Genomic DNA, 27,797 nt, shown 5'->3' with positions numbered 1-27,797 from the left:
GGTGATGATGGTGGAGGTAATGGTGATGGAAGTGGAAGCAATGGTGCTGGAGGTGGAGGTGATGATGGTGGAGGTGGAGATGATGGTGGAGGTGATGGTGGTAGAGGTGGAGGTGATGGTGGGGGTGGAGGTGATGGTGGTGGAGGTGATGTGATAGTGGAGGTGATGGTGGTGGAGATGATACTGATGGCGGAGGTAAAGGTAATGGTGGAGGTGACAGTTGTGGTTCCATGGAGGGGGCGGTGATGGTGATGATGACCATGATGACAGCGTGGGATGTGTTCATTGAAGATGGGACTGAGGTGGGGATGAAAGAAGTCATAGAAAACCAGGGCAGAGCCTCTGTGGGCTTGGAGTTCACCCCTGAGAGCTGGGACAGCCAGGATTGGAGCCATGTCTGCACCGGGTTTGTTTGTTACCGGCTCTCCAGGGGTGTCTGTGGAGTGGAGCCTCCCACACCGGGAAGGACTCAGCACCATTCAGGAACACTGGGAAAGGTAAGACCAGGTGTGTGTGGGAGTGGGCAGGAGCTGGGGAGGTGGCAGAAGGGAAGGGCCAAGGCTGCCGACTCACCTGCTTCCCACTTGCAAGGCAGCCTCCCCAGGGTGGCGTCCACGCACCTGGGCTGACATGATCGGGCCTCTGTGGGGGGCCAGCCCCTGCCTGGTGCCTGTGTCTGTGTTGTCCACTCGCAGGCTCCTGAGAGGTCACCCTTCCTGGGGAGCCTCCAGGGATACCTCCTCCGCAGAGTCTGACCCTCTCCTTCCCTCTGGCCTCGTCCTTGCTGCCCCAACCTGCCACCGTGCCTCTGACAGCATTGGTGCCCTGTGCCCAGCACTGTGGGTAAACAGCTTGAGGTTTCCTGGAGTTTGTGGAAGGAAGTCCTGGATTTGCCACCAACTGGCTCTGGGACCATGGACAAGTACTGGTCCCTTCCATGTGCCTCAGTTTACCATCCAGCCAAGGAAGCCGGCTGGATGGCCTCCAAGGAGGGTGCCAGGAGGCCCACCCTGGCCAGGAGTGGGACTGAAAGCTTCCACGACAGCTCTAGCAGTCAGCTGAGTGTGAGCACAGTGTGGCAGAGCTGGGCAGGCTGGAGGGGCCCCAGGAAGCCCCATGCGCCCTAGGGGACAGCAGACCATCCTCCTTTCCTGCATGGTTAGCATAGCAACAGCCTCCTCCTCTGGGTTGAGAAGGCCTGGGCTGAGTCATGGGCCCAACTGGGAACATGAGAGGGCCTCCCTGCAGGACAGGGCACTGGTCCAAACTCAGCAGGAGGCACGGTGGGTGTGGGAGGGGGTAGGGGAGGAGCCAGCACCACCTCCCAGAAGGAAGGACCTGCATTTGGGGTCAGGACTGGGAAGGCGGCAGGAGCTGACCCAAGAGGGGCAGGCCCTTGCACACCAGCTCAGCCTGACTTTGAGGACTGTCTGGCCAGCACCATCCCCACCCTGTCCTGGGCCTGGGGCTTACCCTGGCTCTTCGCAAGTCAAGAGGGCACTGTGTTGACGCTTACAGCACATGTAGAGGCCCTGCCCCATTTGGTCTGGAAAGGAAGGCCGTGCTCCCGCCAGGGAGGGCTCAGGGCTAATGACCCCCTGCAAGGCCTCTGGAGGGAGCAGGGCAGAGGAGGAGGCGTGGAATTGCCCACCCCAGCCTCATCAACCCAGAGCCCAGCCCAGCCTGCACAGGGCTCTAGAAATTTCTGTGCCTTCTCCCACCAACAAGAGGCCAAGGGCGTAGGGTAGTGGGGAGGGCCATGGCATCCCCAGGTTCACAGGTTTCCTCCAGGGTCCAGCCTCCTTCCCCAGGGCAAGAAACCCCCGTGGACTGCCCTGCCCAAGCTGGCCTGTGTGCTCCGCCTCCCTGACAGATCTGCCTCCCTGGACTCCCCTCCCCCAAACGCTGGCAGTTGGGGACAAACCTGGGGAAAGAGGGGGTGCCACCTCAGCCCTGTCCCAGCCTCCCCCATCCACCAGCATGAGCACGTGGTGGCATCTGGGACACCTGTTCCCACCCGTCCTCAGGAATAGTCACTGCCGTTTCCACTGGAGGTGGGCTTTATTACTGTCGCCATGATGTGAAAAGAGGAAGACAGCACCCATTCCCACGCCTCCTAGACACTGTGCACCAACAACTGTCTGCTGGGGTTAGCACGGAGCTGTCCCCACCCCCAGGGTCAGAGCACCCACAGGTGCCGAGCTGGCCCAGGAGACCCCCACGCTGCTGACGCTGTTTGCCTTGTGTCTGCACAGGCCTCTACTAAACTCTCCCACACAATTAGTGTCTTAAATATATGTACACGTATATATTTTGTCCCAACTGTGTCAGTTATAAAATGAAAACTGACCACTTCTCCTTACGTTATCTTCACAGTAGCTGTGCAGAAGACAACAAATCCAGTGTTGATAGCTCAGGGCAGGCTGCCCACCCCAGCAAAGGGAAGTTCTTCCCCCATGGGACCCACTGGGGGACCCAGTGCCGCGGCCACATCTCCGTGCTTGGGTGGCAGTGTAGCTGCCCATCTACGGGGTGCCGGGTTGGCTTGGGCCTTGCCATGTGCCAGACGCATGCATACATACACACACACACACACACACACACACCCCCCACCCGATTATGGAGCACATCACACCGATCCCTTGCAGAGGTGGGGGCTGGGGCCCAGGACAATCAGAAGCAGGGCCCCTCCCCCAGCTGTCTCGAGACCAAAGCCATCCAGGGCCTCTGAGCCCTGGGGCATCACCCAGAAGCGCTGGGCTCCCAGGCTGGCACCCAGCACACCAGGAGCCCAGGGCGCGTGGGAGATGCGCTAGGGACGGTCTTTCACTCCAGACCAGGCTGACTAATAAATATGACATCCAGTGTTGTCAGGAGATGAGAAAATAACGTAGACTTGGCTGGACTCTGTTGTCAAGGCCATTCCCAGTCACAGAGGAAACATCCCAGGTGGTCTCCAGGCGTCCAGGTGGCTCTGCACCTGCCGACCCCCAGAGGCCAGTGAGGTTCTGGCAGCAAGATGTGCTCCATTAGGCAGGCAAAGCAGGGCGACCTGAACCAACGACATGTGTGGGGGTTGTGGTCTCCACATTCTATTCATGTTCGAGGAGCGTCAGTCTCCCAAGGCTGCGGATGGAGGCCCCTAGGGTGCTGCGACTCCCACTCCTCACCTGCCCCTAACCCTGCCGCCATGGCCACTTTCACCCATGCCTCGCCGTGGGGAAAGGAAGGCCCGCAAACCCTGCCCCTGGCGGACAGGGCAGCCCTTGCCTCTGCTCAGTCAGTGCACGGAAATGCCCACAGCTCCAGGGAAACCCCCTAGCAGGCAGAGTGACCGTCAAGGTAAGGCCCACGGTGGCCCAGCAGCAGCACACAGCTCAGCGGCCCAGACCCCACCCTGGGGGATGCCCAGAGGCTTCCTAGACCTGCACTCAGGCAGACAAGCATGTGGCTGGGCGGCCACCAGCAGACATCTGGCCGCCTCAGGAGGCTCTTCCTGGCTCTAAAGAGAATCCAGTTCCAAATTCCCACTTTCTCTGCTCAAAGTTACAGTGTGGTCATAATTGCACGCTCTCATGGACCCACGTCCCACCCGAGTGACAATGATGCCACAGCCACTCAGCTTCTAGCTGGCTCTACTCCTGCTGCCTTAGGATCCCTGCTGGGGCTGCACCCCCCCCCCCACCCCGAGACACCAGCTGTGCCCAGATGGCCCCTGCTGGCACTCACTGTGCCCCAGGCCTTCCTGGCAGGGGTTCCTGCTGCCGCTCCCCAGGAGTGTCCTGTTCCCTCCCAGCGCCCCATTGGGACGCACACCAACAACTTTTCTGACATGTGAATAATTCACCTAGCGTGGGGCCAGGCTCATGAAGACCTCCCCAAGCCTGCCAGAGAGGTGGTCAGGAAAGTCCCGGGCCGGGAGATGGATGTGCCATCTCACACGGAGAAACGGGGGCAGAGCCAGGTGCTGGTTGGACACCCCTCAGAACTTGGCTGGAGGGGACGGGAGAGGAAGATAGTGTCACAGCCTAGGCAGGGCACAGCCTGGGGGCCGGAATGAGTTGGAGAGTGAGGGGAAAGGAGAGGCAAGGTGGGAGGAAGGCTGCCCAAGTTACCGAGTCTGAGGCCAAGTTCCAGGAAGAGGCAGCATTCTCTCTGCCAGGAGGGTGGAGCCATCTGGCCCAAGCAGGGACCTCCACCTGGTCAGGCTTCACACCCCATGCTGTGTCCCACCTGGGAGGGCCCATCCCTTCCCTTCCACCCCACCCTCAGGACCCACAGGGATGCATCACACCAGAAGGGACTTGACGAGGCCACAGTGAAACTTGCGGACGTGGCGGTAGAGGTCCCCGGACTGCGTGAAACGGCGCTCACACCACCGGCAGGCATGCGGCTTCTCTCGAGTGTGCACTACGGTGTGCCGGCTCAGGTTGTGGGAGTACTGAAAACTTTTGCCACACTGCACACACGTATAGGGCTTCTCACCCGAGTGTGTCCGCTCGTGCCTCTTCAGTGTGTATGTGCACGAGAAGGTCTTCCCACAGAGCGGGCAGGTGGGTGCCACGCCGTCGGGTGAGAGCCGGGCCCGGGTGCTGTCTCGCTCACGGAAGTGGGCACTGAGGTGCAGCTGCAGCACGTGGGAGCTGGGAAACAGCTTGCTGCACAACGGGCAGATGCAGAGGGGCCCACCAGGCCCCAGCTCGTCCTCACTCGCCAGTCGCCCTGCACCAAGCTCCAGCTCCCGGCTGCCCTCTCCGCTGAGGGGCAGCGGCTGCAAGCCCACCACCAGGCCCTTGGCTGCAGGAACAGGAGGTGGCTTCGGGGGACTGTGGGGGCTCCTAGAGCTGCTGCTCTCCTCCTGTTCGGACAGTGAGTCCCGTTCGTCCTTCACCAGTGGCTGGGCCCCTGGCTGCCTCTGGCTGCAGAGGGGTGTCTGGAGGACGCACGGTGGGTGGACCCGCTCCTGCCTTGGGCCAGACTTCAACGACAGGTCCAGGGCCTGGTCTGACTCTTCTGGGACCTGGCAGGGAGGAGGCCCAGATGCTCGAGGAGGGAGGGCAGCCTTGACCCCAAACGGGGGGAGCTTGGCCTTTCGGGCAGCTGGGCAGAGGTCCGCGGTCCAGACAGGCCAGGGGCACGGTGGCTGAGCAGGTTCTGCCCCAGGGGCAGGGTTCCCCGGGTCCAGACTTCGATCCTTCTCCTGGAGCCTGCCCTTGCAGACCTTGACGATGTCATACATGTGCAGGTAGCTGGCGGCTGCCAGGACGTCCTCCACAGGCAGGCTGCGCAGGTCCAGGCGGCCCTCGTACATGAAGTCCAGTAGGCGGCCGAAGGCGGGCGCCGTGACGATGTCGCCGTTGAGCCGCACCGTGTCGCGACTGCCCGCGGGCCGGTCCCTGTAGAAGAGATGGAAGTAGACGCTGCACGCGGCCAGCACGGCACGGTGGGCCGGGAAGCGCGCGTCGCCCACCAGCACGGTGCAGTCGCATAGGAAGCCCAGCTCGCGCTGCTGTCTCAGGCGGCCCAGCAGCCGTCCGCCGTGCTCAGGGAACTCCATGCCGCCGCCGTCATCACCTGGGCACAAACGGGACGCCCGTCAGCGCGCCTGGAGGCGCCCACGAAGCGCCCTTCCCGGCTGCAGGCAGCGCGGAAAGAGCGGCGCGGGAGTGACGCGCGCAACCTCCCGTCCAGAGCCGCCGCGGGCACCTGCCCCGAGCAGGAAAAACTCGATCGAAAGTAAACAGTAGCAGCTCCGCCGCGGGGGCGGGTCCCGGGACTCAGGCGCAGGAGCCGGAGCCGCGCAAACCTGCGCGCGTCCCCGCCCGGGCGCTCCTGAACTTCACTCCCGGGCGGCCGCCCGCTCGCGGCGTCCCCGACGCCCGGGTGGCTGCGCCGCCACCCGCCCCACGCCTCCGCGCCGCCTCCAGCTGCCGCCCGGCCCACCAGATGCCGCCGCCGCCGGCCCCATTTATGGCAGCGCGGCCGCGGGGAGCGGGGAGAGGGCCGGCGGGCGGGCGGGGCGGGCAGAGCCGGGAGCCCACCCCCAGCGCTCACCTCCGCCGCCCCGAGCTCCTCTCCGGTCGCCGCTCGCGCGCGCGCCCTCCCCAGGGCGGCCCTGGCGCGCGTGGAGCTGCGGGCAGCGCGCCCCGGCGGGGAGGGCGCGGGGACGGCGAGGGCGCCGGGCGGGGCGCGCTCCAACTTGGCTGGCCCAGCGCCGCCCGCCGCTCGCCCCGCCCCAGAGAGAGCGAAACTCGGGGCGGGGGCCGGAGGGGGCGGGCCGAGCGACTTCCCGGAGCGGCGGAACCGCTGAGGTCACCCTCGCCCCCCCTTCCCTGTCCGCCCCACCCGGCCGGGCCCCGCGCGCAGCCAGCAGGGGCGCTGGGGTGTGAGGGGGGTTTAGGGCACTGCGCGGGGGCAGGGGGTCTCTCGCGATACTTGGCGCTTTGGCCTGGGTCCCCCACCTCCCAACCTTTCCCGGCATGGGGTCCTTACTGCGCCAGTCTGCAAAAGGAACCCTTCCGAGGGTCCGCTTGTATCCCAGCCCGCGTTGGGCAGTCACCCGAGGGTAAACCCGGGACCCTGGCCTCCCGCCACCTCGCAGGGCGCCGGCCTTGGGATGGCGTAGGGGTTGCGTGGATTGGGGGTCGTTAATTTTGCAAAGATGACACCTCCTTCTTCCTTGAAAGCCTCTTTTTGAATTTAATTCAGCTGGGACCCTCTTCCAAACATTCAAGCAGGATGTCGATCCTAGAGTCCAGAACGGGGACTTCCACCCTCTCCACAGACCCCAGCCCAGCGTCTATGGGGGACCCAGCGCAGAGAGGCACGGAAAACGGGCACCTCCCAGCAGACATGGTGGCACGGGGGGACAAACGCCATAACAGAGACAGTCGGAAGCCCTCCAGAGCCCAGGGTAGGCAGGAACGTGTTCAAAGAGGAGGAGACTCCGGACAGGGGCTGGCATGGGAGTGGGGGTAGGGAGGAGTGGGGGAAAGTGTTCTAGGGCAAAGAAGCATTGAGAAGATGTGAGGGGGACGCCTGGTTGTGGGAGAGGGAATCGCCAGAGAAGTAGAGAGTGTGTTTGGCGGGGTTAGGGTCCCTCCCAGGCAGATGGAGCCTTTTCCCAGGGGCACAACCTGGGCTGCCCTTGACTGAGCAGGTTTGAAGGTACTCTAGACCACCGGATCATCTTCACAACAGTCCCATTAACTAGACGCTCTTATTTTCATACCTTTTTGGTGAGAGAGTTTAGGTAAGGTACCCAGAGCCATGTATCAGGCAGTAAGTCACTGAACCACGATTTGAATTCAGCCGGTCTCATTCTTCTCTGCCTTGGAGTCCGGGAAATGGAGAATGTAGTGGAGGAGTCACCCCAGTCAAGGCCAAGCAGTGGGGTGGGGGTGGTGCTGGAAGAGGGGCTGGATCACAAAGGACAGGACCCGGCCAGGTATGTGTGTGCAGGAGGAGTGGAGCCCACAGTGGGATCTGAAGTCTGGGAAGGAAGGCCTCGTTGTTATACTAAAATATCATTCCTTGTTTCACCGGATGGACTGCATCTTTATTTCCTAAACCTGGCAACTGCAGCTTGGACCCCTGGAATGACACTGCACTTACAGCCACTGAGACTAGCTTAGGGACGGCAGAGGCCTGGCTCCCACTGCCGCCGGCCATCCACCCTAAGGACCCCTTCCTGAGGAAGGTCAACTCCCCTCTCTCCACGCATTTAAATAATCATCTGCCTTGCCCCAGCCACCAGCAGGAATAGCTGAATTCAAGTAAGTTAAGGGTGAACTCAGATGTGACTGCTCCCTTCCTGCCCTGCCTGGATCACAGCCCTGCCCCGGCCCCTCCCAACCTTGAGCACGACCAAACCTTTAACCTCTTTGAACCTCAGTAATCCTCATCTGCAAAATGGGAGTCAGAGTGCATCCCGGGGTCTTCGTGAACATTAACGACAGGGCCTGGCACTCAGCAAGCTCTCAGGCTCTGGAATGTTCTTCCCCAAAGAACCCTTCACTGGTTTCTCTTCATCCCTGTCTCTGCTGAAAGTCCACTCCTTAGTCAGGGTGGCCATTCCTGCCCACCTTCGCTAAGTTCCCTCGCAGTCCCTTCTGCTGCATACCCTCCTTTCCAGCCCATTCCGGGTGTCCTGTGATTGTGGGATATTCCAGCACCTTCTGAAAGGGAAGGGGCTGTTTGGTCACTTGGTGCTTAAAAGTTGGCAGGACGCAAGTGGGTGTTCAGTAAATGTTTGTTGAGTGAATGTGTGACGGTTGCTTCTGTGAGTGATTACGATGGTCCCACCATCCCTAATCCTGACTCCTCTGTGGCAACATTCCAGCCCTGCCTGCCCACACCCCCAGCCCCTGAACCTTCAGAGCAAGTAGGGGTGGCCTGCCACACTGGGGCTCTGGGCAACAGGCTGACAGCTCCCCACTGCAGGCTGGGAGCAAGCACCCTAGCCTGCCCTGCCTGGCTGGCGGGACAGAGAGAGCCTGGACACTTAATGGGGGTTGTGGTACACAGGGAGGGTCAGGATGCTGCCTTCAGGAGCCTAGGGTAGGACCTGGAAGGAGGGCCCAGCTAGGAATGGGCTAGATGAAGGGGAGGGGACAGTGGGAGAGAAGCTCCTTATCCCTCTCAGGTCGGGATGTCTGGGTTCAAGTCCCTCCTGCCCCACACCGATCAGGGAAGGGGGGCTGTTCCAGGCAGAGACCGCCCAGAGTTGGTGCTGGGATCCTGGCCAGCCTGTAGTCCTCAGAGCCCCTGTGACTGGCTGGGTCTCAAGTGCAGGAATGACAGGACACCGTCACACAGCCACTGTCGCGGCGGTGGTGGTTCAGGCAGAACCTCTGCAGACTCAGGCGGCCATCTGGCCTGGGAGCTGCCCTGAGGCCCCGCCCTGCAGCTGCTGCTGGGACCTACACAGCCCAGGGCCCTCGAGTCCTGCCCCCGGCCAGCAGCTGCAGAAGGTGACAGGGCAGGAGGCCCCTGAGCTCTGGGAGGAGGCAGCCGTCGGGCCCTTCCCTGGTGCAGCAGTTTTTGTCGGAAACATCTGGCCACAGAGCACCTCAGCAGTCCCAGCAGCAGCCGTGGGGCTGGGTTCTCTCCTGACCATTCTGTCTGGGGTGGGAGGGGGTGTTCTTGAAGAGAGGACTCTGCTTTCCCTCTGGGACGCTGGAGGAGAGGGAGATGGCCCTGCCCACTGGGAGATCCCCGTCTTGGGGGAGGGCAGTTCATGCCAAGGTGAAGACAGGACTGGAGTGTGGGGCCCACAGTGGGTTGCAGGCACCAGCAGATGCCAGGGCACCAGGCTGGGAAGACTGGGAGGCCTCCTTGGAGACAGCCAGTGCAAAATAAGCAAGAGGTCCAACCACTTCAAGAACAGCCCGCAATGTCACTGCCTCTTCCATGAGAGGGTGCCCTGCTCCCTCCCACATCCCCAAGCCTCGGCCACTTGCTGGCCTTGTCTCATGGCCCTCTTACCCTCTGCTTCCTCCCTGAATTCCTTCCTCCATCCTTGCATGGCAGAGCCCAGGATGGTGGACAGATACCAGGAACTCTTCCTCGGGGAGCAGTGGGCAGGTGGGACAGTCCCAGAGGGAGCCCCAGGTGGCTCATGGTGCAGGTTTGCTGGGTGAGAGACAGACACCAGACGCCCAGGCTCTGGGGGCAACCCTTGTGTCAGGTATCCCACCCAAGCGGCGCAGACCACTGGGCCTCTGACTTGGCCCCCTGGAGGTGGGCCCTTCCTGGGGTTACAAAGTCTGAGCTGGGAGGGAGCAGAGGTGCTCAGGCGAGAGGCAGGAATGGGGAGTCCCCTGTCTGAGGAGCGAGTGCCCTCATGCAGGGGGAGAGAGTCCTTCTCTTGGTCAGCCCCAAGAGGCAGGGATGAAGCCCGAGTTTTGGCTGCAGACTCTGTCCTGAGCACTGGGCCGAACCTGCTGCCTCTGTCTGCATCTCCTCCCACCCCCTCCCCTGCTGCCAGCTGAACTCACTCTGGCTGAAAATAAAAATGCTCCCCCAACCCCAATACTTAGCAGCCTCAGGAAGGTAACTCACAAGAGTCTGTCTTTCACAAAAGGGTTATTATCAACTGTGGGCCTCTGGAATGGGGGAGGGGCAGTTGTCGGAGGAACTTCTGGCTAGGAAGGGGTCGGGGTGGCAGTCACCTGCACTCTCCTGTGAGTGTCCAGGAGAAAGGGGTCTGTGTCCCACTTACTCATTCCATACCCGGGCCATCTGCCTCCCAGTGGACTTCGGACTGGGTGTCCGGGCTGACCAAGTCCACCCAGCAGGGAGGGCTCTGGGCTGTCAGCTGTCACAGCCCACCCTAGACACCGCTCCTCCTCTGTCTGGTGTCTGCTCCCAGCTCAAGGTGGGAGCCAGGCAAGGTGTGCCCCTCTTCTCCCACTCCCCAGCAAAGTCCCCCTTTTGTGAGTGTAGCTGCCAGTACCTAGGTGAATGGTTGACTCCCCTCGGAGCCTTCCTGCTCCTTGGAGGCCCACCTCCAACTGACCTCCTGTCCTGGCATCCTCCCGCACTTCCCCCAGAGGCACAAGGTCTTGGGATTGGGCCTTTTAGGTCACTCTTGGCCGCCCCCTCCACGCCCCCCAGAGTGGGGCAGCCTGAAAGTCAACCTAAGCCACCCCCGCCCCGCGCGCGGAGGCAGAAGTCCGGGATTCGTCCCTGACCTGTCTCGGGCCCCTTCTGCTAGGGTCACGGCAGAGCGAGCCCAGAAGCGCCGGGTCACTTTACAGACGGGGAAACTGAGGCCAGAGAGGGCGTGGCCCCGGGACGGGCTGGCTGGTGGCCGGGCTCCGTTAGCGGCCCAGCCCAGGCCCCAGGTCGTCGGGAGCTGCCCCTCAGCCCGGCCGCGCGCTCCCCGAGCGCGCTCCGCCCTCGCCGCCGGCCGCGCGGTGGGGACGCCCCGGGCGGCGGAGGCGGATGTGGGCGGGCGGCTCCGGGCGCGGGGCGGGCGCGGGGCGGGGAGAGGGCGGGCCGGCGGCGGCGGCAGGACCGAGCGCGGCAGGCGGCTGGCCCAGCGCACGCAGCGCGGCCCGAAGACGGGAGCAGGCGGCCGAGCACCGAGCGCTGGGCACCGGGCACCGAGCGGCGGCGGCACGCGAGGCCCGGCCCCGAGCAGCGCCCCCGCCCGCCGCGGCCTCCAGCCCGGCCCCGCCCAGCGCCGGCCCGCGGGGATGCGGAGCGGCGGGCGCCGGAGGCCGCGGCCCGGCTAGGCCCGCGCTCGCGCCCGGACGCGGCGGCCCGGTGAGTCCCCGCCCGCCGTGGCCGCCCGGGCCTGGATTTCCTCCCCGCGGGCCGGGCCGCTTTGTTCGCGGCCGGTCGGGCCGGGGCGCGAGCCGCGGCGCCGCCAGAATGGAGGAGCGGGAGCAGGAAGTGGCCGAGCGGGCCTGGGCGGGGAGGGCGCGGGGCGCGCGGGCCCGGCCAAGGGAGGGCGGCCCCACGCCGGGCGCCGGGGGTGCAGGCTGCCGGCCCCAGCCTCCCTCATGACCTTGGGGAGGCCGCTCCGCCGGGCGAGGCCGGGACCCGAGAGAAGGGACGCCGCCGGGCCTGGAGCTGGGGCTCGGGGTGCCCCTGCGGGCCGTGGGGCTCCCCGGGCGCTGGGCCAGCGAGGCAGCCGGCGGAGGTGCCCCGGGGTTGGAGAAAGACTCGCCGCGGCCGGCCTTCAAGTTTGTGGGAGGGCCCCGGAAGGAGACTTCGTTTCCCACGGACGAAAAGTTGTACGTGGTGGCGGGGTACCCAGGCTAGCCACAAAGGACTGTGACCCTCCTGGGCCCCGGAACTGCTTCCTGTCTTGGGTGGGCCCTGGAGGTCCTGCCCGCCCATCCCAGAGGCCAAGGCTTGGAGGGCAGCTGGGGCTTGCCCCTTAGATTGAGTATCCTGGGGCGCTAGCGAGCTTGGTCCTGTCGGGACGGCCTCTGAGTGCTGCCTTGGTCAGCGGGTGAGCTTGGGCCCCTGCTCTGCAGCCAGAGGCCGCCCCACATTCACTCCTGGGTCTCTCGGCCTTGCTCCAGGTGGCCACTTCTTGACTGCTTTGAGTCCCTCATCCGAGCGAAGGGCGGACGGAGTCCGTTGGTGGGGGTCCGGTTGCCTCTCCCGGGAGCTGTGTAGACTTCTCATACACCAGGGTTCTGGAGGCAGATGGAGGAGCCCTTTCGAAAACAGAGTATTTTTTTTTAAGTTGTGACTTAATAATAGTAGCAAGAATATGTGCTTATGGTAAAGGCAGGCGGCAGGTACGGAGGCTGTGGGAAGTCGGGGTCCCTCCGCCCCCACAGGCAGCCCTGTGCTGGCCTGGTGTATACGTTTCTGTGCAGACGTACACCACCCTGTGTGAGCACAGATGTATTTTTACACATGGCTCTGGACAGCTGTCTGACTCTGTCAGCAGCAGGCCTTGGAGGGGCTCAGGCCCGTGTGGGGGTGGGGGGACATCCAGAGGTCTTTGAGTCCAGCCCTCTGCCTCCAGGCCACGCCCACTCAGTGTCGTCAGAGCCCCCTGTGCCTGAGGCGTGCGCGGCTCGGAGCCCTGCCCTCGGAGTCCTGCGGTGCCTTCCTCGAGTCTGGCCTGCTTTCCATCCTGCTAAGTACTTGGGGCATTTCCCTCTTTGGGTAAGGTGTGGTCTTCCCTGTCCTGGCATTAGACACAAGGCAGTGGGCCTTCCTGCCATTCTAAGTGTAGCTTAAGACAATCAGTGCAAAGCAACCCTTTGTGGGTGTCCAGCCCTTGCCTCGGGAGGCCAGAAAGGTGGCCTGGGGGGAGAGCGTCTAAGCTGGCTGTGGAAAGACCCATGTTGGGATCCATTCCACAGAGGTCGTCAGGGGTCTCTGCCTGGCCTGGAGGTCCCAGAGAGGACCCTCCTCCCCTCAGGAAGGCCCATCTGGAAGGGTAGCAGAGGACTGCTCACAGGAAGAGCATGCGAAGTGCTCTTTCTGGGGATGCCTGTAGTTGGTGATGTGGGAACTGGGTTTTGAGGGATGCCTAGGAGTTCATCCATCAGAGGGGAAATGAGGAAGCCATGCAGGATCAATGGATAAAGTGTGCTCAGGTGAGGGTTGGCTGGTGGGCCGCTGCAGGGCGGGGGCCTGTCCAGTGCTCCCCCACTTACTTGCTGCCTCCCGACTGCTGTAATTATGGGTCTGTAACCACCCTGGACTGGGTGCTCCTCACTGACGGACTTGTCTGAACCTCTCTTTGTCTCCAGCGCCCAGCACTGGGCCTGGCAAAACCTGAGACGCCCGGTACATGTTGGCCAAATGAATGAACCAGATTCAGACCGGCAGGGGCGCTGTGGTTTAGGAGGGGCCTGGGGTTTCTCCCAGGAGGTTTTTGGGCTTGCGCTGGAGGGCTCTGGACTCCCGTTTGCGCCAGTGGCCTGCATCCTGGTCCTGTCTTCCTCATGTTTGAATTTCTTTGCTTTCCTAGTCTGGGGAGCAGGGAGGAGCCCTGTGCCCTGTCCCAGGATCCATGGGTAGGAACACCATGGACAGGGAGAGCAAACGGGGCCATCTGTCACCAGGGGCTTAGGGAAGGCCGAGCCAGCCTGGGTCAAAGAAGTCAAAGGGGCTGCCTGGAGGAGGCAGCCTGTCAGCTGGTGCATCAGGTTAGGGAGGCTGGGAAGGCCTTTTGGGGATGGGGGTGATTTGTCCAACGGCTGGGGGAGGTGGGAATGGGGAGGTGAGCAAGGCAGCAGCTCTCAGGGCCTGGCTGTTGCGGGTGGTGGTGGCAGGGGCTGGAGGCTCTAAGCCTAGAATAAGGAGAGGCCCAGGTCCAGGGAACTGTGTTCAATTACATGGATTTGACACTTGGCAGCCCTGAGTGTTTTGGGGAGAGGGAAGGCAGGCGGGCAGATGGGGGTCAGAGAGCTTAGAGGGATGGCAGCCCACCTGGGAAGGCAGGTGCGGGTGGAGCCCCCAGGCACGTGCAGTGGGTCTCTGGCTCACCCAGGGCGAGGAGCTGCCCTTAGCCAGGCGTGGCCTCACATTCAGCTTCCTTTGCTTCTCCCAGAGGCTGTGGCCAGGCCAGCTGGGCTCGGGGAGCGCCAGCCTGAGAGGAGCGCGTGAGCGTCGCGGGAGCCTCGGGCACCATGAGCGACGTGGCTATTGTGAAGGAGGGTTGGCTGCACAAACGAGGTTAGTACCCGCTGCCAGGGCTGGGCCTGGGGAGGGAGAGATGGGGGTAGTAGCCCCAGGGTCTGTGAGTGCCTGTGCCCTGCTGGGTGGGAGGGGCTGCCTCCCCTGGGGCTCCTGGGCTGGCCTAGGGTGAGTGTCCTGGGCCCCATGTCTTCCCATGGCATGGAGGGCACGGCCTCGGGGAGGCCAGGAGGATGAGGCCCTGTGCAGGGCCGGCCATCTGAGTGGCTTCCTGGTGTGGGCCCTGGCAGGCGGGGGAGCTGCTGCCAGCCTCTCTCCTGGCTTTCCTGGAAGGCAGCGAGGACACTGGGCTGTTCCAGGGTCTGGCACGCTGGCGGCCCAGGGCACTGCCCAAGGGCTCCTGAGGGCAGGGCAGGGCTGCTTGGCTTGGCCTGGTGCCTGCTTCAGGCCTGAGCTTTGGGGGTGGGGGGAATCCGTACCGCCTGGGCACAGGGCATGTTTGCCTTGGAGCTGCAGAGCTGGCTGAGCCAAGTCCCCCAGCCCCTGTGTCCCCCTCCTCACTCATTTGGCCTTGCAGCCTATGGAGGAGGTGCTGCCCGAGGGGCCTGGCCAGCAGCTGGGTGGGATGGGAGCTGGGGACATAGCCCCACCCCTTCCAACCCTGTGCAGGCCCTTCTGCCTCACCCACCCTCCGTTGCTCAGCGGGGTGCGGTGGAGTCTGGGTGGCTGTTTTGCTCCTCTGTCCTGCTAGGGTGGGCTTCCTGTTCAGGTCCAGGTCCTCTGGCCAAGTCACTCTCTTCTGCCCCAGGCGGAATCGGTCCGCCCTCTCCTGACTTCTTTTTCCAGACTTGTTCCCTCCTAAGTTCTAGTGATCTCATGCCAGCAGCCCCCCGGCTTTACGTACACCCTCTAGCAGATGGGTTTCACATCTGGTAGTGGGGAGACCCCAAACACAGCTGGAGCAGACAGGGAGGTGTGGCAAAAGTAGGTGTCACAAGATGGGGCATTGTGGGATGTATAGGAGCTCACAGAAGAGCAGGCCTAAGGAGCCACAGGAGCCTGGGGGTGGGGTGAAGGAGTGACCGAGATGAGATGCTGGGGGAATCAGGGGTGTGGCTGGCTGTGTGTTTGGAGTGTTTGAGTGGGCAGCTACCAGTGATGGCACGCGGGGCCTCGAGATGAAGACAAGGAGGCTGCAGACGCCTGTGGTCCTTGGGGAGCTTCTGGCTCTGCTTCCCCCCAAGGCCTCCTGCCGCATCCTGCCTTCTCCATCCCCTCCCCGTGTGCTGTCCCCTGCTTGTTCCCCAGGAGTCCTGCCACCTGTGCCTGGAGGTCCTCTCCTCACCTCACAGCCCTCTTTGGTGTCAGGGACCCCCTGCCCCGACCCTGGCCCTGTTCCTCTCTGTGTCACATAGTCTGCTGCCTGGGGCCGCTGCTTCTTTATCCTTGGCAAATGTGTGTTTGTTGATAGACTGTTGGATCTCGGGCTGACCCAGGAGATGCCAGGGCCTTGACTGCCCAGGGGCCCAGGCCCCAGTTACTGGGGCACCCATCAGCCAGCTGGGCCTAGGCAGGAGTGCTCCCCCGAGGCCAGGTGATTTTCAGGCTGCTGCTGATGTCGTGCCTTCAGGAGGGGCCTGGCAGGGACAGGACATCAGGCCCAGTGGGGCGTCCAGAGAGCTGAGTTTGAACCCTGGTTAGCCACTCTATCGCCATGACCCTTTCCAAGAGCAAGGTCATTGAGCTCCTTGGGCCTCAGTTTCCCCATCTACACCAGGGAGCGGTGGTGGGAGAGAGACCTGGTGGAGTGGAGAATGGCTTGTGGGCGGCCCTGAGTTGGGGTCCGGCCAGCCTCAGCAGCCTCTGGGCTCTGTCATCTGGCCCCTAGCCTCAGGCCAGGAGAGAGGGTCCTGTACCTCTACCCCCGGCTCTTCCTCCTCCATCCCCAGTGTAGTGGGCGCTGAGGATGGGAGGTGGCGTGGATATGACATATGCCCTTGGCAGGCATAGCCCCTCTTGTTGCCGAGAGCAGGTGGCGTCCACCCGCATGGCCGGCCGCTCCTTGCGGAGGAAAGCCTGTCCTCCGGGGCCTGCCGCATTTCGCCACTCCCGTCCCTGGGGTCCCCTGTGTGTCTTGCAGATGTGCTGTGCCACCCTCCTGGCAGGGCCAGCCCCACCCGCAACACTGGTTAGAGGTACTAGCTGCCTTCCTGTCCCTAGCAGGGCTGTGCTGGGCTGACCCCACCCGTGCTTCACAGTGCTCAGGCCTGGCTGGGGGTGGGGAGGGAGGGAGGGACGCAGTGACTGTCCTCCAGGCCCGGCCGCAGCCCCTTGCAGACGCCCTGTTCCACTCCCCCCCAGCCTTGCTCCTGCAGGTCAGGGTGCTTGTCTCAGAGGCTGGCCCGCACCTGTCCCCTTTGCCGGGACTCCCCACGACCGTGGCCTGGGGCACTTTGGTTCTCAGCTGAATCCCCAGGTGACAGTCCCACCACGGCTACTTGGGCTGGCCACACGTGGCGTGATGGTGCCTTCAGGGGTGATGTGGTCATTGAGATGAGAGGGGACGGGTATGCCCTGTGTGTGAGGGGTGGGGTGGCAGTGTCTGCAGGCTCCTTCTCCTGCTCCTTGGGAGGTGAGCGTCATCTCTGGGAAGTGGCCCAGGCTGCTTTCTGTTGTTCTGATGTGTGTGCTCTGAGTCAGAGGAGCTTCAGGGACAGAAGGGACCGGGCATGGGGACACAGGAGTTCCGGCTGCAGGCCTGTGTGGACCTGTGGCTGGACCCAGGCGAGGCCTCTGGGTCTGCACATCTAACAGGGAGATGGTTCCTGGAGGGTGAGCTTAGGCTGTTAAGGGCAGGAGCTAGTGAGGAGGCTGGTGGGGCCTATAGGGACAGGGGGCCAGATGTCCCCTCCTGTTTCGGCTGTCTCACTGGATAAGCAGCCCAGCTCAGCTCTGGCCATTGGTGGTCTGGTGGGCTCAGTGTTGCTCAGACGTTTGCATTTTCAAAGATTTGTTCTGTTGTGTGAAGTCTCCTGATTTTTGAAGGCTGACAATTTTAAAAAATCAATCCTGGGCCAGGGCGCAGGTCTGGCTGAACTCGGCCTCCAGCCTGCAGTTTTCCTTCCTTTGATAGCTCCGTGCCAGGCTTTGGCCAGAGGCTGTGTGGCTCTTTTGAGGTACTTTCCCCAAACAGCTTGCTCACCTTGCCCGCTTGCCCCAGTACTCCTGGGGCCGTGCACCAGCCTGGCTGCAGCCTAGCCCCGTGGAGAGCTGCCCTGGTGCAGCCCCGGCCTGGAGCCTGTTTTTGTCCACTCGCGGCTGTCTTCCTGAGCGTCCCCCCGTCCACATGGCTGGACCAAGTGGGTCAGGAGAGGGCCGAGGCGGGTGGCCGGGATGCTGGGACCCAGGATGAGGTGCTCTGGGCTCTCGAGAAAGGGCTGGGCCTAGGCCAGGAGTGGGTGCCGGCCGCAGGGGCACCACCTGGACTCCCTCAGGCTGGTCGCTGTCCGAGAGGGGCCGGGGAAGAGCTGCAGGCCTGGCTGCCTTCGGCAGGCTGTGACCCAGCAGGCCAAGGCCGAGTGGGCGGGGGTCGAGGGAAGCTGCCTGGGGCGCGTGGGTTACGCGGCAGACGCTCCTGAGTGTGTGGGCAGCGTGTCCAAGCCACGGATCTGGGTGCCTGGCCGGGCCCGGGTGACACGGGACCGTGTGTCCATGCGGCTCACGGAGGGTCCAGTCTCCGGACATCTGAGTCCTTGCCATGCCCTACCCCGGGCCCATGCCTGGCATAGACCCCCCAGTCCAGGCCTCAGGGCAGCCCCCTCACCACTCCTGCTGAGTTAGCCCCAGGCGTCCCGGTGGGGAGTATGGAGGCTGGTCTCTGACCCCAAGCAGGTGCCTAGGCTGGGCCTCCTTCCCACCCCCTCTCCCCGCCTTGAAGTCCTGGCACTGGCTGTCCCTGCGGGGGGGCACTGAGGCAGGGAGAGAGTGGTTCCTACCCCAGTGTGTTACTTCGCTTTGGTGAGCGACATAGAACCTCACTGCATCCCCAGCTGCTGCTCAGCCATCCAGCTGGTCCTGGGGTCCCTGCGTGAGGTGGGGGACCTCAGAGGGTACAGGCCACTCCCCTTCATCCTGGAGGAGGCCTTGGCTTTGCTGAGTAAACACCCTTGAGAAGAGGTCTGTGGGGGACTCTGAGCCCACTCCAGAGAGCAGCTGCTGCGGAGGGCCCCGCAGGGCTAATTGTTTGTGTGCAGATGGAGGCTGCTCATTACCCCGCCAGGATGAGGGGCCCAGCAGGACCCTGAGGGAGGGAGCCCGCAGACTCTCCCCTCAGCCTGTGGGAACCTTTGGGCTCCAGGCCAGGGCTGCCTGTGCCTCCTGGGCCTCAGTTTTTCCCAGGCTGTCAGGTGAGGGTCAACCCCAGGCTGCGTCTAGGTGGCTTCAGTGTGAGACCCGCGGGCCCTGGGCTGGTTAGTGCCAAGCTCTGCCTCCCCTGGGGGAGCGTTGAGGGTCTGGAACGGCCCCCGTGGGCAGGCCAGGGACAGAGATGGGGAGGCAAGTGTGCTGGCTCCTGGTGGGAGGGCTGGGCAGAGAGTGGGGGTCCCAACAGCCCTGGGCCTACCCGGGAGAGGGGCAGGAGGCACAGGCTGGTGGAGGTCATGGCATGGCTGTGGTGGAGGCCGCCAGCATCAGGGAGGTTCCTGTTTTGGGAGCTTGTTGAGTTCTCACTTCAAAAACAACAAAAGAGGAAGCCGAGGTGGCCTTGAGTGGGGGTGAGGGGTCACTGCTGGCCCCAGCCCTGGACCTTAGCCCCCACGCCTGGTGGCTCCTGAGTGGACAGCTCTTCTTCCTGTGTGTTTCTTGGTCACTGGCCCTCTCTGGGCAGGGATGCCCTGTGGGGGGCTGGACTCCGGGAAGGGAAACTGAGGCCCAGGAGAGTGGACAGAATGTGGGTGGAATGATTCCTGTGCTGGGGCCTAGACCCCCGTACACCTTCCACTCTCAGGAGAAGCCTGGCCGGGTTGCATCAGGCCGGGTTCCTAGAAGTCCTGCACGAGGCTGAGCGGAGGGAACTGGCGCGGCCCCCGCTGGCGTCCCCTCTGCCTGGGCACACCCGGCCCGGCTTGGGGCCAGCACCCTGCCCTCGGGCCCTCCCATAGCTGAGACTGGTGGCTGTGGCTGTGGCTCTGGGCCTGCTCCCCAGGCCACCCTGGGTGGGCAGCTGCCTGCTGCTTCTGTCTGCTTGGACCATTGTGCCTAGTCCCATGGCCTCAGGAGAAGGTTCCCCCAGCCCAGCGCTGGGGCCCCGGGCAGGTTGGCAGAGGGCCCTGGGGCTCCAGGCCAGGATGGGGCTGTTAGGCGAACCCTAGGCCCCTTACTTCCTCATCTCCAACGGGAGTTCCCTTCCCTGCCATGCCGCCTTTAGGTGTGTTTTCCTTGAACCTTAAGGAATGATAGGTTTGGATTTCAGAAACGTTGGAATTGAGGGGGTTGGGAGTTCATGGGTGACTCTGCTGCCAATGTTGCGGGCTTTGGGGTGGGATCCTTGGGGCGCTGTGTTTGGGCTCACACACCCCCCAGGCGGGCCCGGTGACTGCAGACCCCACCCATACCCTGTAACCTGGCGGGCCCACCTGCCCAGGCCCTCAGCTGGTTGTCCAGCTCAGGGGTGGAGACACCCCCTGGGCAGGCCTGGCGGGGAGGTGGCTGCTCCCTGGGCCTGGAGAATGCAGAGAGGCCCTTCGGCTGGCCAGGGTCTGGCTGGCCTCCCCACAGACTGGGGCCAGGGGCACAGCAGCCAGGTGTAGGGCGCGGAGACGCTGAGCTGCACAAGCTTGGTGAGGTGTGGGGTGAGGCCACGGGGGTCAGGGCCACAATGTCCCAGCAGGCCGGGGGATCAGAAGGAGCACCCTCCACAGCTGGCCGTGCTCTGGGGGCCCTCCTGCCCCAGGCGTGGCTCCAAGTTGGGGCAGAAACAAGATGGTGGGGAGATGGAAGGCCCCTCTGTGGCGGGTGCTTCCCATGGTCGGTGTGGAGGACGAGGTCCCTACTGCCTGGTTCCAGTTCCCCCAGCAATGCAGGGCACTTTTCCTGGGGTGTCAGGGATTGAGAGGCCAGCACTGGAGCCCTTCAACCGCCAGGGGCCCTGCCCAAGAGAGACGGGAGGAGGGAGGGGCTGTGGGCATGGCTGCGTGCCCCCGGCCGAGCCCCGGAAGGAGCCTGTGCCCGTGCCCACTTCCTTTCCCGAGGGCAGTGTCTACACGTGGGACACTGTGGCCAGCCCTCCCTCGCAGCAGGCACTGTGTGCTGTCCCCATGCCCAGCTTCCTCCCACGCAGGGAGCGAGGGTGAGGGCCCTGGGAACCCACTGGGTGGAGGGCACTTGGCAAAGCCTGCTGCAAGTTATGGGGAGAGTGGGCGGGGGCAGAGTAGGAGGCGCCAGGGAGGGGCTGCAGCCTCATCTGCAGGGGTCCTGAGTAGGCAGGGTGGGCCATGACATGGGTGGGGCTTGTTTGGGGCAGACCAAAAATGAGGTGGGGGACAGGGACAGGGACAGGGTCTTGGGATGTGCTGGGCTCTGCGATGGATGGGTGTGTGGCAGGTGGGGTGCCTTTGCCGGCCCGAGGGGTGGGTGACGGGCAGTGCCTGTGGGGGAGGACATCCAGGCCCAGGTGGTCTGTCAGGGGCAGCACCAGGGAGGCCCAGTACCCCACCCAGTAGAGCCCCAGGAGAATGGAAAGCTGAGACCCAGGTGCTTCCCTGGAGTGGCAGGAAGAGAGGCCCCAGCGCCTCCGGCTGTGCCTCAGCGAGGTGGACGGGGTCATGGTGGTGCCGCCTGCCCGCACCATGTTCCTCCCGGGGTGTGTGTGTCGGGCTGAGGCCTGCTCCATGGTGGAGCGGAAGGAGGTGAAGAATTTGCAGTTTGTGTCAAGTTACAACCCCTGCCTTGGCGGCAGGACCTGGGGTCTCTCTGGTCATGATCTGCCTCTGAGGGTCACCTCCCCTAAGTCTCCGTTTTCCCAGGGAGCTGATGGGCATGATGAGCCCTGCCCGCCCTGCCTGCCTGGTGGGCTTTCTGGGAGAGCAGAATGGGTCCTGGGCTGGGCGAGGCCCAGGCAGGTGGAGCGCCAGTCCTCTGCCTGGCGGGAACAGACACCTCTCCTTGTGCAGACTGGCCACTTGTGCCCCCTCAGAAGGGCTTGTGCCGGGAGGAGCAGTGGATGTATTTCACCCACAGACCTGGGGGCTCCAGCCAAGTGGGGTCAGCTGGCCTCCGTTGTGTGGCCCCTCCCCTGCCCCCACCCCAGCCTGGTTGTTTACAGGGTTCGAGGGCTGCTGGTAAAGGGGTGTGTACTCCCGGGCCCGGGCAGAGGCCTGGCAGGCCGGGCCCTTCGCGGTGAGCTGTGCGGTCTCCTGGCAGGCGGGGAGGGTGGGTTGCGGGCCCCTCATGGGCTGCCGTCAGCGGAGCCGTCTGCTCAATGTGCTGGAGAAGGTAAATGGGCCCCCGGCAGCTGTCGGGGCGATGGATGTGTCGGCAGTGGGGACCACGGTGGCCGCTGTCAGCTGGCGCCCGCTCCCAGGGCCTGCTGGGCTCACTTTGCTGTGGAGAAGCAGCTCGGTGCCGCCTGGCACCCTGCCAGCCGCTGCCACCACCGTCTCTGCGAAGTGTTTATCCAGCAGTTTCCTGAGAACTGGGGACTTTGAGAGAATGTTCAGGGAGCTGAGGACGTGGTGGCCTAGGGGGGCTGACACACCTGGTGGCTCAGGAGGTGGTCAGTCCCGGGACGTGGAGGGCCACCAGCTGGCCCTCAGGGGCCCACCCAGTCCTGCCCATGGCGCGTGGGTCCTGGCCCCCATGTCTAAGTGGGTGCCGCTTTGGGGGGCCTGACCCACAGTGTGGCCTGGGACACGTGTGTGAGGCGTGGAGAGGGTGGGCTGCCTGTGACTGTCCATGTGGTCCCCGTGGTGGTGGTGGGGTGGGTTGGGGGAGGCCAGGCAGGAGCAGCTTCCTCTCAGAACCCCGGTATTTGGTCCAGGAGGACTTCTGGGAAGGAACCCTCTTTCCCTGGGGGTGCTCCAGCCCCTTCCTGGGGATGAGCGGGGTTGGGGATGGAAGGTCACTCCTGCCGGAGGGCCACCCGGGACATCGGGATGCCAGAGGGACCAGGGCTGGGGTTGTGTGGGGCCCAGGAGGTGCAGGAGGAGTCGAGGGAGCCTGGTCTCCGCTGTCCCCCCGGGCAGGGACAGGAGTCTGGCCAACTGCCTACCCCCCACCGAGGGCAGCCACCTCCCATGCCTGGAGCCCTGGGCCATGGATGTGCTGGCTGGTGGGGAGGGTTACGGGTTTCATCAGGCACAGGAGCCCCTGCCCTTGTGGCTTCACAGGACCTGGTCTTGGATAGGTGCAGTGTCACAGGGTTAAGGGTCAGGGTGGCTCCCACCTGGCCCAGGGCTGGCCTTGAGAGAACCCTGAAGGGTGGGACCGGAGCTGCTGCCTCCCACTGCCCAGGGGGCCAGCAGGAGGGTGAGACTGGAACTGCTGCTTCCCCGCTGCCGAGGGAACCGGCCATGGGGCAGGAGGGTGGGACCGGAGCTGCTGCTTCCCCCTTGCCCAGGGGACCAGCCATGGGGCAGGAAGGTGGGACCAGTCCCCAGTGCCGTCCTCCACTCGGCCCCCCACTCAGGTCTTCTGGCAGTGGTGTGGGGTCCCCCATCCGGACTTGCTGACATTTCTGAAGGGGCACCTAGCCGTCTTCCCTGCCAGACCCTGAGGCCCAGGCCGGGGTTGCACTGGGACCCTGCCTGCTCCAGGTCCCGGGTCTGAAACATGTGCAGCGGGTGGGGACTTGGGGGTTCTTGAGCCCAGCATGGGGGTGTGAGAGTTAGGGACTGAAGAGGCCCCCTGGGCCTGAATGCTGGGCGGTCTCCATTGCCCTTGGGAGTGGCTGCTGGCAGGAGATGACTCTGGCTGTGTGTGGGGTGGGGCGTGCCCTGGCCTCCCCATTTGTTGCCTGCCTGTACCCGTCTGGAGTGAGGGCCTGGCGTGGCAACCTGGGGGTCTGTGCCCACTCTGTGTTTGGTGCCCTCAGCTGTGCAGGCAGGTGGGTGGGGTGGTGTTGGGGGGGTGACTGGGGTGGGGTGGGGGGATGCCAGCTGGCTGATGGTGGGGAGATGGAAGGCCCCTCTGTGGCGGGTGCTTCCCATGGTCGGTGTGGAGGACGAGGTCCCTACTGCCTGGTTCCAGTTCCCCCAGCAATGCAGGGCACTTTTCCTGGGGTGTCAGGGATTGAGAGGCCACTCTTCAAGTGGACTGTACTCCTGCCTCGAGTGGGGGGCATCTGAGGACCACAACAGGGTGGGGAACTCAAGTTAAGTCCTGGATGACAGGTTCCAGTTCCCCTGGGGACCCTCAGGATAGTGAAGGAGAAGACTCCATGTGGGTTGGTCTCTTTGTGTGAGGGGTCTGGGAGGGCAGCCCTGGCTGATGTGTCTGTGCTCCCACCCTCCTGAGGGACCCGGAGTAGGCAGGTGCAGGCCTGCAGGCGTCCTGTGGCCATGAGGACAGTGATGCTGGGCCCCGGGTGGCTGTCTCCTCCACCTGCCCCGTCCTGTGTCACCCCAGTCCTGGATCAGGGAGTAGTGGGGCCCTGCCGCATCTGCTGTCGGGGCTGGCCGCCCACCCAGCATCCTGTCTGGGCTGAACTCGTTAAGATGCGCGCCACGGCCCTGGCTGCAGCTGGCACCCCCCCAAGTGATCCTCTAGCTGACCCTCTAGGCGAGAGATGAAGAAAGAGAACTGTGTGTCTCTGGACCCCTTACCCCGGGTCCCTGGGGATCCTGCTCCTCCCCTGGAGGGGTCTGTGTGCTGGGCTGGGATGCCGAAGACAAAGGCCACGTGAGGCCCCTTCACTCACACCCGTCTCCTGGGGTAGGCCCTGATCGCCGTCTGTTCCCTGGGTCTGTGGGGCCAGGCGAGGGGAAGGCACTGAAAGCCCAGGGCCCATTTGGGCCTCTGCCCATCCCAGGACTCCCCAGGAATGCTCGGGGCTGGGCACCTGTCCTCTCCCACCCCCCACGCCTGGTAAGCGCCGCCCCTGGGCCTGCCCCTCCCGCACCCCCAGATCCAGCTCCCAGAACCCCCCAGATGCAGCTCACAGAACCTGGGGCTGGGCTTGTGGCAGCAGGGTCAGGGGCAAGGCTGGGGTTGGGCACGGGAGCTGCGTGCTCGGGGGCAGCACGGGGCCATGCTGGGCACGGTGGGGGCTGGCAGCAGTTGGTGGATAAGATGGGTTTCAGGGGTGCCGGGCCTGGGCGCTCATCAGTCTTCCCGCTCAGTTAGCGTCCCGGGGAGTGGCAGCTGGCAGGATGGGAGGCACTCCATCAGGGGCCGACAGCTCCAGACTGGCATGCAGGCGGGTGGGCGTGAGCAGCGGGGTGGCCCAGGATGGGGGACGGGTGGGGTGGGCTGCATGCAGCCCCCTGAGCCTGCTCTGCTCTCACTGAGCGCCCCTGCCTGCCCGCTGCACCTGCAGGGGCCCTGTGGCTGGGGGAGGGGACGTGGGAGGCGGGGTGGAGCTGCGTGGCACGTATGTGCGTGTATGTGCACACTCGGGGGTGTGCGAGATCCCAGGTCAGGGACAGGAGCCGGCACCCAAGGGTGGCAGGACCACGCCTGCTCGGCAGCCCACTGGCAGGGGCATGGAGGGCTTGCGGAGTGGGTGGGGTCTCCTGATGAGTGCTCTTGGGCACAGGGGCAGATTCTGGGCCCTGGATCATCCTCCCTGCAACTGGGTGTTGGCCGTCCTCCAGAGGTGTCAGGCAGCTATGAGTGGGCTGTGGCTGTCCCCTTCCTGGTCCACCCCAGACCTGACAACAGCCTCTTCCCACACTCAGGCCCTGCTGGGTGGGGTGTCCCCACCCTCCACCAGCATCCCCCCAGCAGCCCTGGCTTGGGCAGAGAGAGGGCTGGTCTTGTGGAGACCACGCCCCGTGGTGCTGGTGGGAAGGGCATTGGGCAGCTGGGGCCGGGGTAGGAGGGAGAGGTCACCTGGCCGGGGGGTGGCCATGTGTCGAGCCTTGGTGGCTCACCTCTATTAAAGAACTCCCCCGTGGCTCCCTGGAAAGTAGAATGCCTGCTGGGATGCCCATGACCCATGTCCTCTGAGCTCCCCTGGGGCTGCTGCCCTGCTGGGACTTCCCTGTGCACCAGGGAGGGCTGGACGCGTCTGGGCTCACCACGAAGACCCAGCAGGACTGGGTGGTGGGTGGTCTGGTGATGGGACAATTGCTTGTCCCCCACATCCCTCCAGGTGTCCCTGTCTGGGGCTCAGTGTGGCATGAAAACCCAGGCCCCAGAGCTCAGGGACCCCAACCCCTTACCCTGGCCCCCTCCCTAACCCCTGCCCAGTGACCCCTCAGATGAAGCAGTTGCCTAATTAGTAAGTTCCCTGTTGTTCAAACTCCTTGCTTGGCAAAATGTAAGTGGAACATTTTTTTCCGAGTGTCAGTATGAAAAATGGTACTTGCTGGGCTATCACCGAGGACAGCTGCTCTGATTCTGAAGTGTGAACGCCTGCGTACGGCTGATGCTGCAAAACTTGAGGGAGAATGTTCCCGTGTACCTGAATGACCCACGGGTGGGACGCGGCAGGGCCGACGGCGGCAGGGCCTGAGTGTGGGTCTCAGCCTGGGGACTTGGCACCCTCTGTGCCCTGGGGCCCCTGCCCAGCTGGCTGGGCCACCTCCGTGTCTGGCTTCATCGGCAGTCCCCAAGACGGTGCTCCAGGCCCCTAGACAGGGAGTGCGATCCCACGGCAGTGGGCAGTCCTGTCCCGCGAGCCCGGCCCTCAGTCTGAGTGGTGCTGACCTCTAACTGTGGACGCCATGCTCCATCCTCCTGGTGGGTGGCGGCGGGGCGGGGGGGGCGGCCATGCTGGGCAGCCCACACAAGCCACTGTCACCTGCTGTCGCCACCTGGCCGACCCTGGTTGATTGGGGAATGCTGTCAGCCCCGCAGCCCCTGTGGCCATAGCTGGGGCCCGAGCTGCTGCTGGTGCCTGCTGGGGACTGGCTGGTTTAGGGCTGCCTCCTCCAGGAAGGCTGTGCAGACTGGCCCAGACCTCTTCCCAGCCTCCTGTCCATGGTACTCCATCCCCTGCGTCCAGCTGGCCCAGCCCGTTTTCAGACACAGCTCGGGGTGGCTCTTCTGAGAGGGGCGCTGTGGTGGGGCGAGTCTGCCTTCCCGTTGACCCAGGGCCGTTTCTGTCGCTGGCCCTAAGAAACAGCTCCCGTACCGCGCCTGCCCCCTGGGACTCAGGCATCCCAGGCACATCTGTCCTGGCACACCCAGTTCCTGCCTGGCTGCCTGGCGAGGGTCTGACGGGTAGAGTGTGCGTGGCTCTCACCACCCGCACGTCTGTAGGGGAGTACATCAAGACCTGGCGGCCACGCTACTTCCTCCTCAAGAATGATGGCACCTTCATTGGCTACAAGGAGCGGCCGCAGGATGTGGACCAACGTGAGGCTCCCCTCAACAACTTCTCTGTGGCGCGTAAGTATCCCCTTGGCCTCTCGGGATTCAGATTTGGGGGGTTGGCTGGAGCCCTCTTTGCCCACCAGGCCCCACGATGGGGGTCCCCTGGAGCCTCCAAGTCCTGGGCTGGCAAGCAACAAGCACTGGCTGGGTGGGGGTCTCTGGGCCGAGTCCCGAGGCTGGCTGGGCAGGGGTCTCCGGGCTGAGTCCCAAAGCTGAGGCTGGCTGGGTGGGAGTCTCCAGGCTGAGTCCTAAGGCCGAGGCTGGCTGGGCAGGGGTCTCTGGTCCAAGTCCCGAGGCCGAGGCTGGCTGGGCAGGGGTCTCCGAGCTGAGTCCTGAGGCTGGCTGGGCGGGGGTCTCTGGTCCGAGTCCCGAGGCCGAGGCTGGCTGGGCCGGGGTCTCTGGGCTGAGTCCCGAGGCCGAGGCCGGCTGGGCAGGGGTTTCTGGGCAGAGTCCTGAGGCCGAGGCTGGCTGGGCGGGGGTCTCTGGGCCGAGTCCCAAGGCTGGCTGACCCTGGAGCAGTTCCCTGGTGCCCATGCTCTGGAAGCTGGAGGGTCCGGACAAGTGGCAGCAGAGCCCAGTCTCAGGGTGGACAGCTGCCCCGGGGGCCCCTCCTCCAAGGGGGTTAGATAGAGCCCATCAGGGCCTCTCCTTGGGAAACCCCTTGGGTGAGGGGGCAAGAGTCCATTGGGGTCTCCAGCTCTGAAGCCTCCATCACTCGAGGAAGAGCTCGTGCCTCTCCCTGCACAGGCTCTCAGCCTCCAGACCCCATGGCAGAGCCTTTGCTTCCCCTCTGTGAGGCTGCCTCCTTGCCCATGGAGGGGCAGGTGCAGAAAGGCCAGCGGGGGACCTTGGCCGGAGCATCCCACAGAGATGAGAGACATGTGACGCTCCCTGCTCCGCCCTGCTGTGGCTTTATTCCTTACCTGTAGCGGGGGCAGGTGCGACCCTACCCATGTCAGACGGGAACCCTGGCATGGAGACCCAGGCGCCCTGCTAGGTGGGAGGCTGGGGACACGTGGGCCTCCCAGCATGGTCCCCATTTTCTGTGTCCCTGTCCTGGAGCCCAGCTCTGCCTGTGGCAGCCAGAGACACGGGTTGGGCATGCAGGTGTGACTGAGTGGCTAATTAGGGCCCAGTTGTGGGCC

The 27,797-nt window shown here is 64.2% G+C and overlaps 2 protein-coding genes across 16 annotated transcripts in view, besides 14 other annotated features; one reads left to right on the top strand and one right to left on the bottom strand.

Moving 5' to 3' along the window:
• Positions 1,208 to 1,957: an enhancer, noted in NCBI's record as "H3K4me1 hESC enhancer chr14:105271135-105271884 (GRCh37/hg19 assembly coordinates)". NCBI's record gives its function as "activates a minimal SCP1, AML or CMV promoter by ChIP-STARR-seq in primed H9 embryonic stem cells {active_cell/tissue: H9 hESC(primed)}" and the evidence as "EXISTENCE:reporter gene assay evidence [ECO:0000049][PMID:30033119]".
• ZBTB42 (zinc finger and BTB domain containing 42) lies at positions 2,043 to 6,201 on the bottom strand. Of its 2 annotated transcripts, NM_001370342.1 has the most exons (2): positions 6,055 to 6,201; positions 2,043 to 5,574 (listed from the first exon to the last, which is right to left on the bottom strand). In NM_001370342.1, exon 2 carries the CDS (start codon positions 5,555 to 5,557, stop codon positions 4,289 to 4,291), a length of 1,269 nt encoding a protein of 422 aa, NP_001357271.1. In that variant the 5' UTR covers positions 5,558 to 5,574; positions 6,055 to 6,201; the 3' UTR covers positions 2,043 to 4,288. The 2 variants fall into 2 exon arrangements, with proteins under 2 accessions (NP_001357271.1, NP_001131073.1); NM_001137601.3 differs by lacking the exon at positions 6,055 to 6,201 and having other exon boundaries at positions 2,043 to 5,654.
• Positions 2,130 to 2,629: an enhancer, noted in NCBI's record as "H3K4me1 hESC enhancer chr14:105270463-105270962 (GRCh37/hg19 assembly coordinates)". NCBI's record gives its function as "activates a minimal SCP1, AML or CMV promoter by ChIP-STARR-seq in primed H9 embryonic stem cells {active_cell/tissue: H9 hESC(primed)}" and the evidence as "EXISTENCE:reporter gene assay evidence [ECO:0000049][PMID:30033119]".
• Positions 5,673 to 5,822: a silencer, noted in NCBI's record as "silent region_6202". NCBI's record gives its function as "represses an Ori minimal core promoter by ATAC-STARR-seq in GM12878 lymphoblastoid cells {active_cell/tissue: GM12878}" and the evidence as "EXISTENCE:reporter gene assay evidence [ECO:0000049][PMID:35858748]".
• Positions 5,883 to 5,992: a silencer, noted in NCBI's record as "silent region_6201". NCBI's record gives its function as "represses an Ori minimal core promoter by ATAC-STARR-seq in GM12878 lymphoblastoid cells {active_cell/tissue: GM12878}" and the evidence as "EXISTENCE:reporter gene assay evidence [ECO:0000049][PMID:35858748]".
• Positions 6,023 to 6,462: a silencer, noted in NCBI's record as "silent region_6200". NCBI's record gives its function as "represses an Ori minimal core promoter by ATAC-STARR-seq in GM12878 lymphoblastoid cells {active_cell/tissue: GM12878}" and the evidence as "EXISTENCE:reporter gene assay evidence [ECO:0000049][PMID:35858748]".
• Positions 8,313 to 9,085: an enhancer, noted in NCBI's record as "H3K4me1 hESC enhancer chr14:105264007-105264779 (GRCh37/hg19 assembly coordinates)". NCBI's record gives its function as "activates a minimal SCP1, AML or CMV promoter by ChIP-STARR-seq in naive H9 embryonic stem cells {active_cell/tissue: H9 hESC(naive)}" and the evidence as "EXISTENCE:reporter gene assay evidence [ECO:0000049][PMID:30033119]".
• Positions 9,086 to 9,858: an enhancer, noted in NCBI's record as "H3K4me1 hESC enhancer chr14:105263234-105264006 (GRCh37/hg19 assembly coordinates)". NCBI's record gives its function as "activates a minimal SCP1, AML or CMV promoter by ChIP-STARR-seq in naive H9 embryonic stem cells {active_cell/tissue: H9 hESC(naive)}" and the evidence as "EXISTENCE:reporter gene assay evidence [ECO:0000049][PMID:30033119]".
• Positions 10,696 to 11,055: a silencer, noted in NCBI's record as "silent region_6199". NCBI's record gives its function as "represses an Ori minimal core promoter by ATAC-STARR-seq in GM12878 lymphoblastoid cells {active_cell/tissue: GM12878}" and the evidence as "EXISTENCE:reporter gene assay evidence [ECO:0000049][PMID:35858748]".
• The window catches only part of AKT1 (AKT serine/threonine kinase 1), a 26,400-nt gene continuing 9,609 nt past the window's right edge, over positions 11,007 to 27,797 (top strand). The window contains exons 1-5 of one of the 14 annotated variants that reach the window (NM_001382433.1): positions 11,007 to 11,271; positions 12,494 to 12,611; positions 13,451 to 13,628; positions 14,033 to 14,157; positions 26,539 to 26,667. In NM_001382433.1, the coding sequence (NP_001369362.1) occupies positions 14,112 to 14,157; positions 26,539 to 26,667 (175 nt within the window). In that variant the 5' untranslated portion in view covers positions 11,007 to 11,271; positions 12,494 to 12,611; positions 13,451 to 13,628; positions 14,033 to 14,111. Of the gene's footprint in view, positions 11,272 to 11,547; positions 13,629 to 14,032; positions 14,158 to 26,538; positions 26,668 to 27,797 lie in introns of those variants that run through there. The other 13 variants (NM_001382432.1, XM_047431075.1, XM_047431072.1 and 10 more) reach the window with 13 other exon arrangements.
• Positions 11,236 to 11,285: a silencer, noted in NCBI's record as "silent region_6198". NCBI's record gives its function as "represses an Ori minimal core promoter by ATAC-STARR-seq in GM12878 lymphoblastoid cells {active_cell/tissue: GM12878}" and the evidence as "EXISTENCE:reporter gene assay evidence [ECO:0000049][PMID:35858748]".
• Positions 11,316 to 11,635: a silencer, noted in NCBI's record as "silent region_6197". NCBI's record gives its function as "represses an Ori minimal core promoter by ATAC-STARR-seq in GM12878 lymphoblastoid cells {active_cell/tissue: GM12878}" and the evidence as "EXISTENCE:reporter gene assay evidence [ECO:0000049][PMID:35858748]".
• Positions 11,900 to 12,541: an enhancer, noted in NCBI's record as "H3K27ac-H3K4me1 hESC enhancer chr14:105260551-105261192 (GRCh37/hg19 assembly coordinates)". NCBI's record gives its function as "activates a minimal SCP1, AML or CMV promoter by ChIP-STARR-seq in primed H9 embryonic stem cells {active_cell/tissue: H9 hESC(primed)}" and the evidence as "EXISTENCE:reporter gene assay evidence [ECO:0000049][PMID:30033119]".
• Positions 12,542 to 13,181: an enhancer, noted in NCBI's record as "H3K4me1 hESC enhancer chr14:105259911-105260550 (GRCh37/hg19 assembly coordinates)". NCBI's record gives its function as "activates a minimal SCP1, AML or CMV promoter by ChIP-STARR-seq in naive H9 embryonic stem cells {active_cell/tissue: H9 hESC(naive)}" and the evidence as "EXISTENCE:reporter gene assay evidence [ECO:0000049][PMID:30033119]".
• Positions 13,182 to 13,823: an enhancer, noted in NCBI's record as "H3K4me1 hESC enhancer chr14:105259269-105259910 (GRCh37/hg19 assembly coordinates)". NCBI's record gives its function as "activates a minimal SCP1, AML or CMV promoter by ChIP-STARR-seq in naive and primed H9 embryonic stem cells {active_cell/tissue: H9 hESC(naive and primed)}" and the evidence as "EXISTENCE:reporter gene assay evidence [ECO:0000049][PMID:30033119]".
• Positions 14,464 to 15,105: an enhancer, noted in NCBI's record as "H3K4me1 hESC enhancer chr14:105257987-105258628 (GRCh37/hg19 assembly coordinates)". NCBI's record gives its function as "activates a minimal SCP1, AML or CMV promoter by ChIP-STARR-seq in primed H9 embryonic stem cells {active_cell/tissue: H9 hESC(primed)}" and the evidence as "EXISTENCE:reporter gene assay evidence [ECO:0000049][PMID:30033119]".

The sequence above is a fragment of the Homo sapiens genome, chromosome 14 (genome assembly GCF_000001405.40).
Source record: "Homo sapiens chromosome 14, GRCh38.p14 Primary Assembly".
NCBI classification, from domain to species: domain Eukaryota; kingdom Metazoa; phylum Chordata; class Mammalia; order Primates; family Hominidae; genus Homo; species Homo sapiens.
Note: the sequence above shows the minus strand (reverse complement) of the source record. Positions and strands in the feature narration are given on the sequence as shown.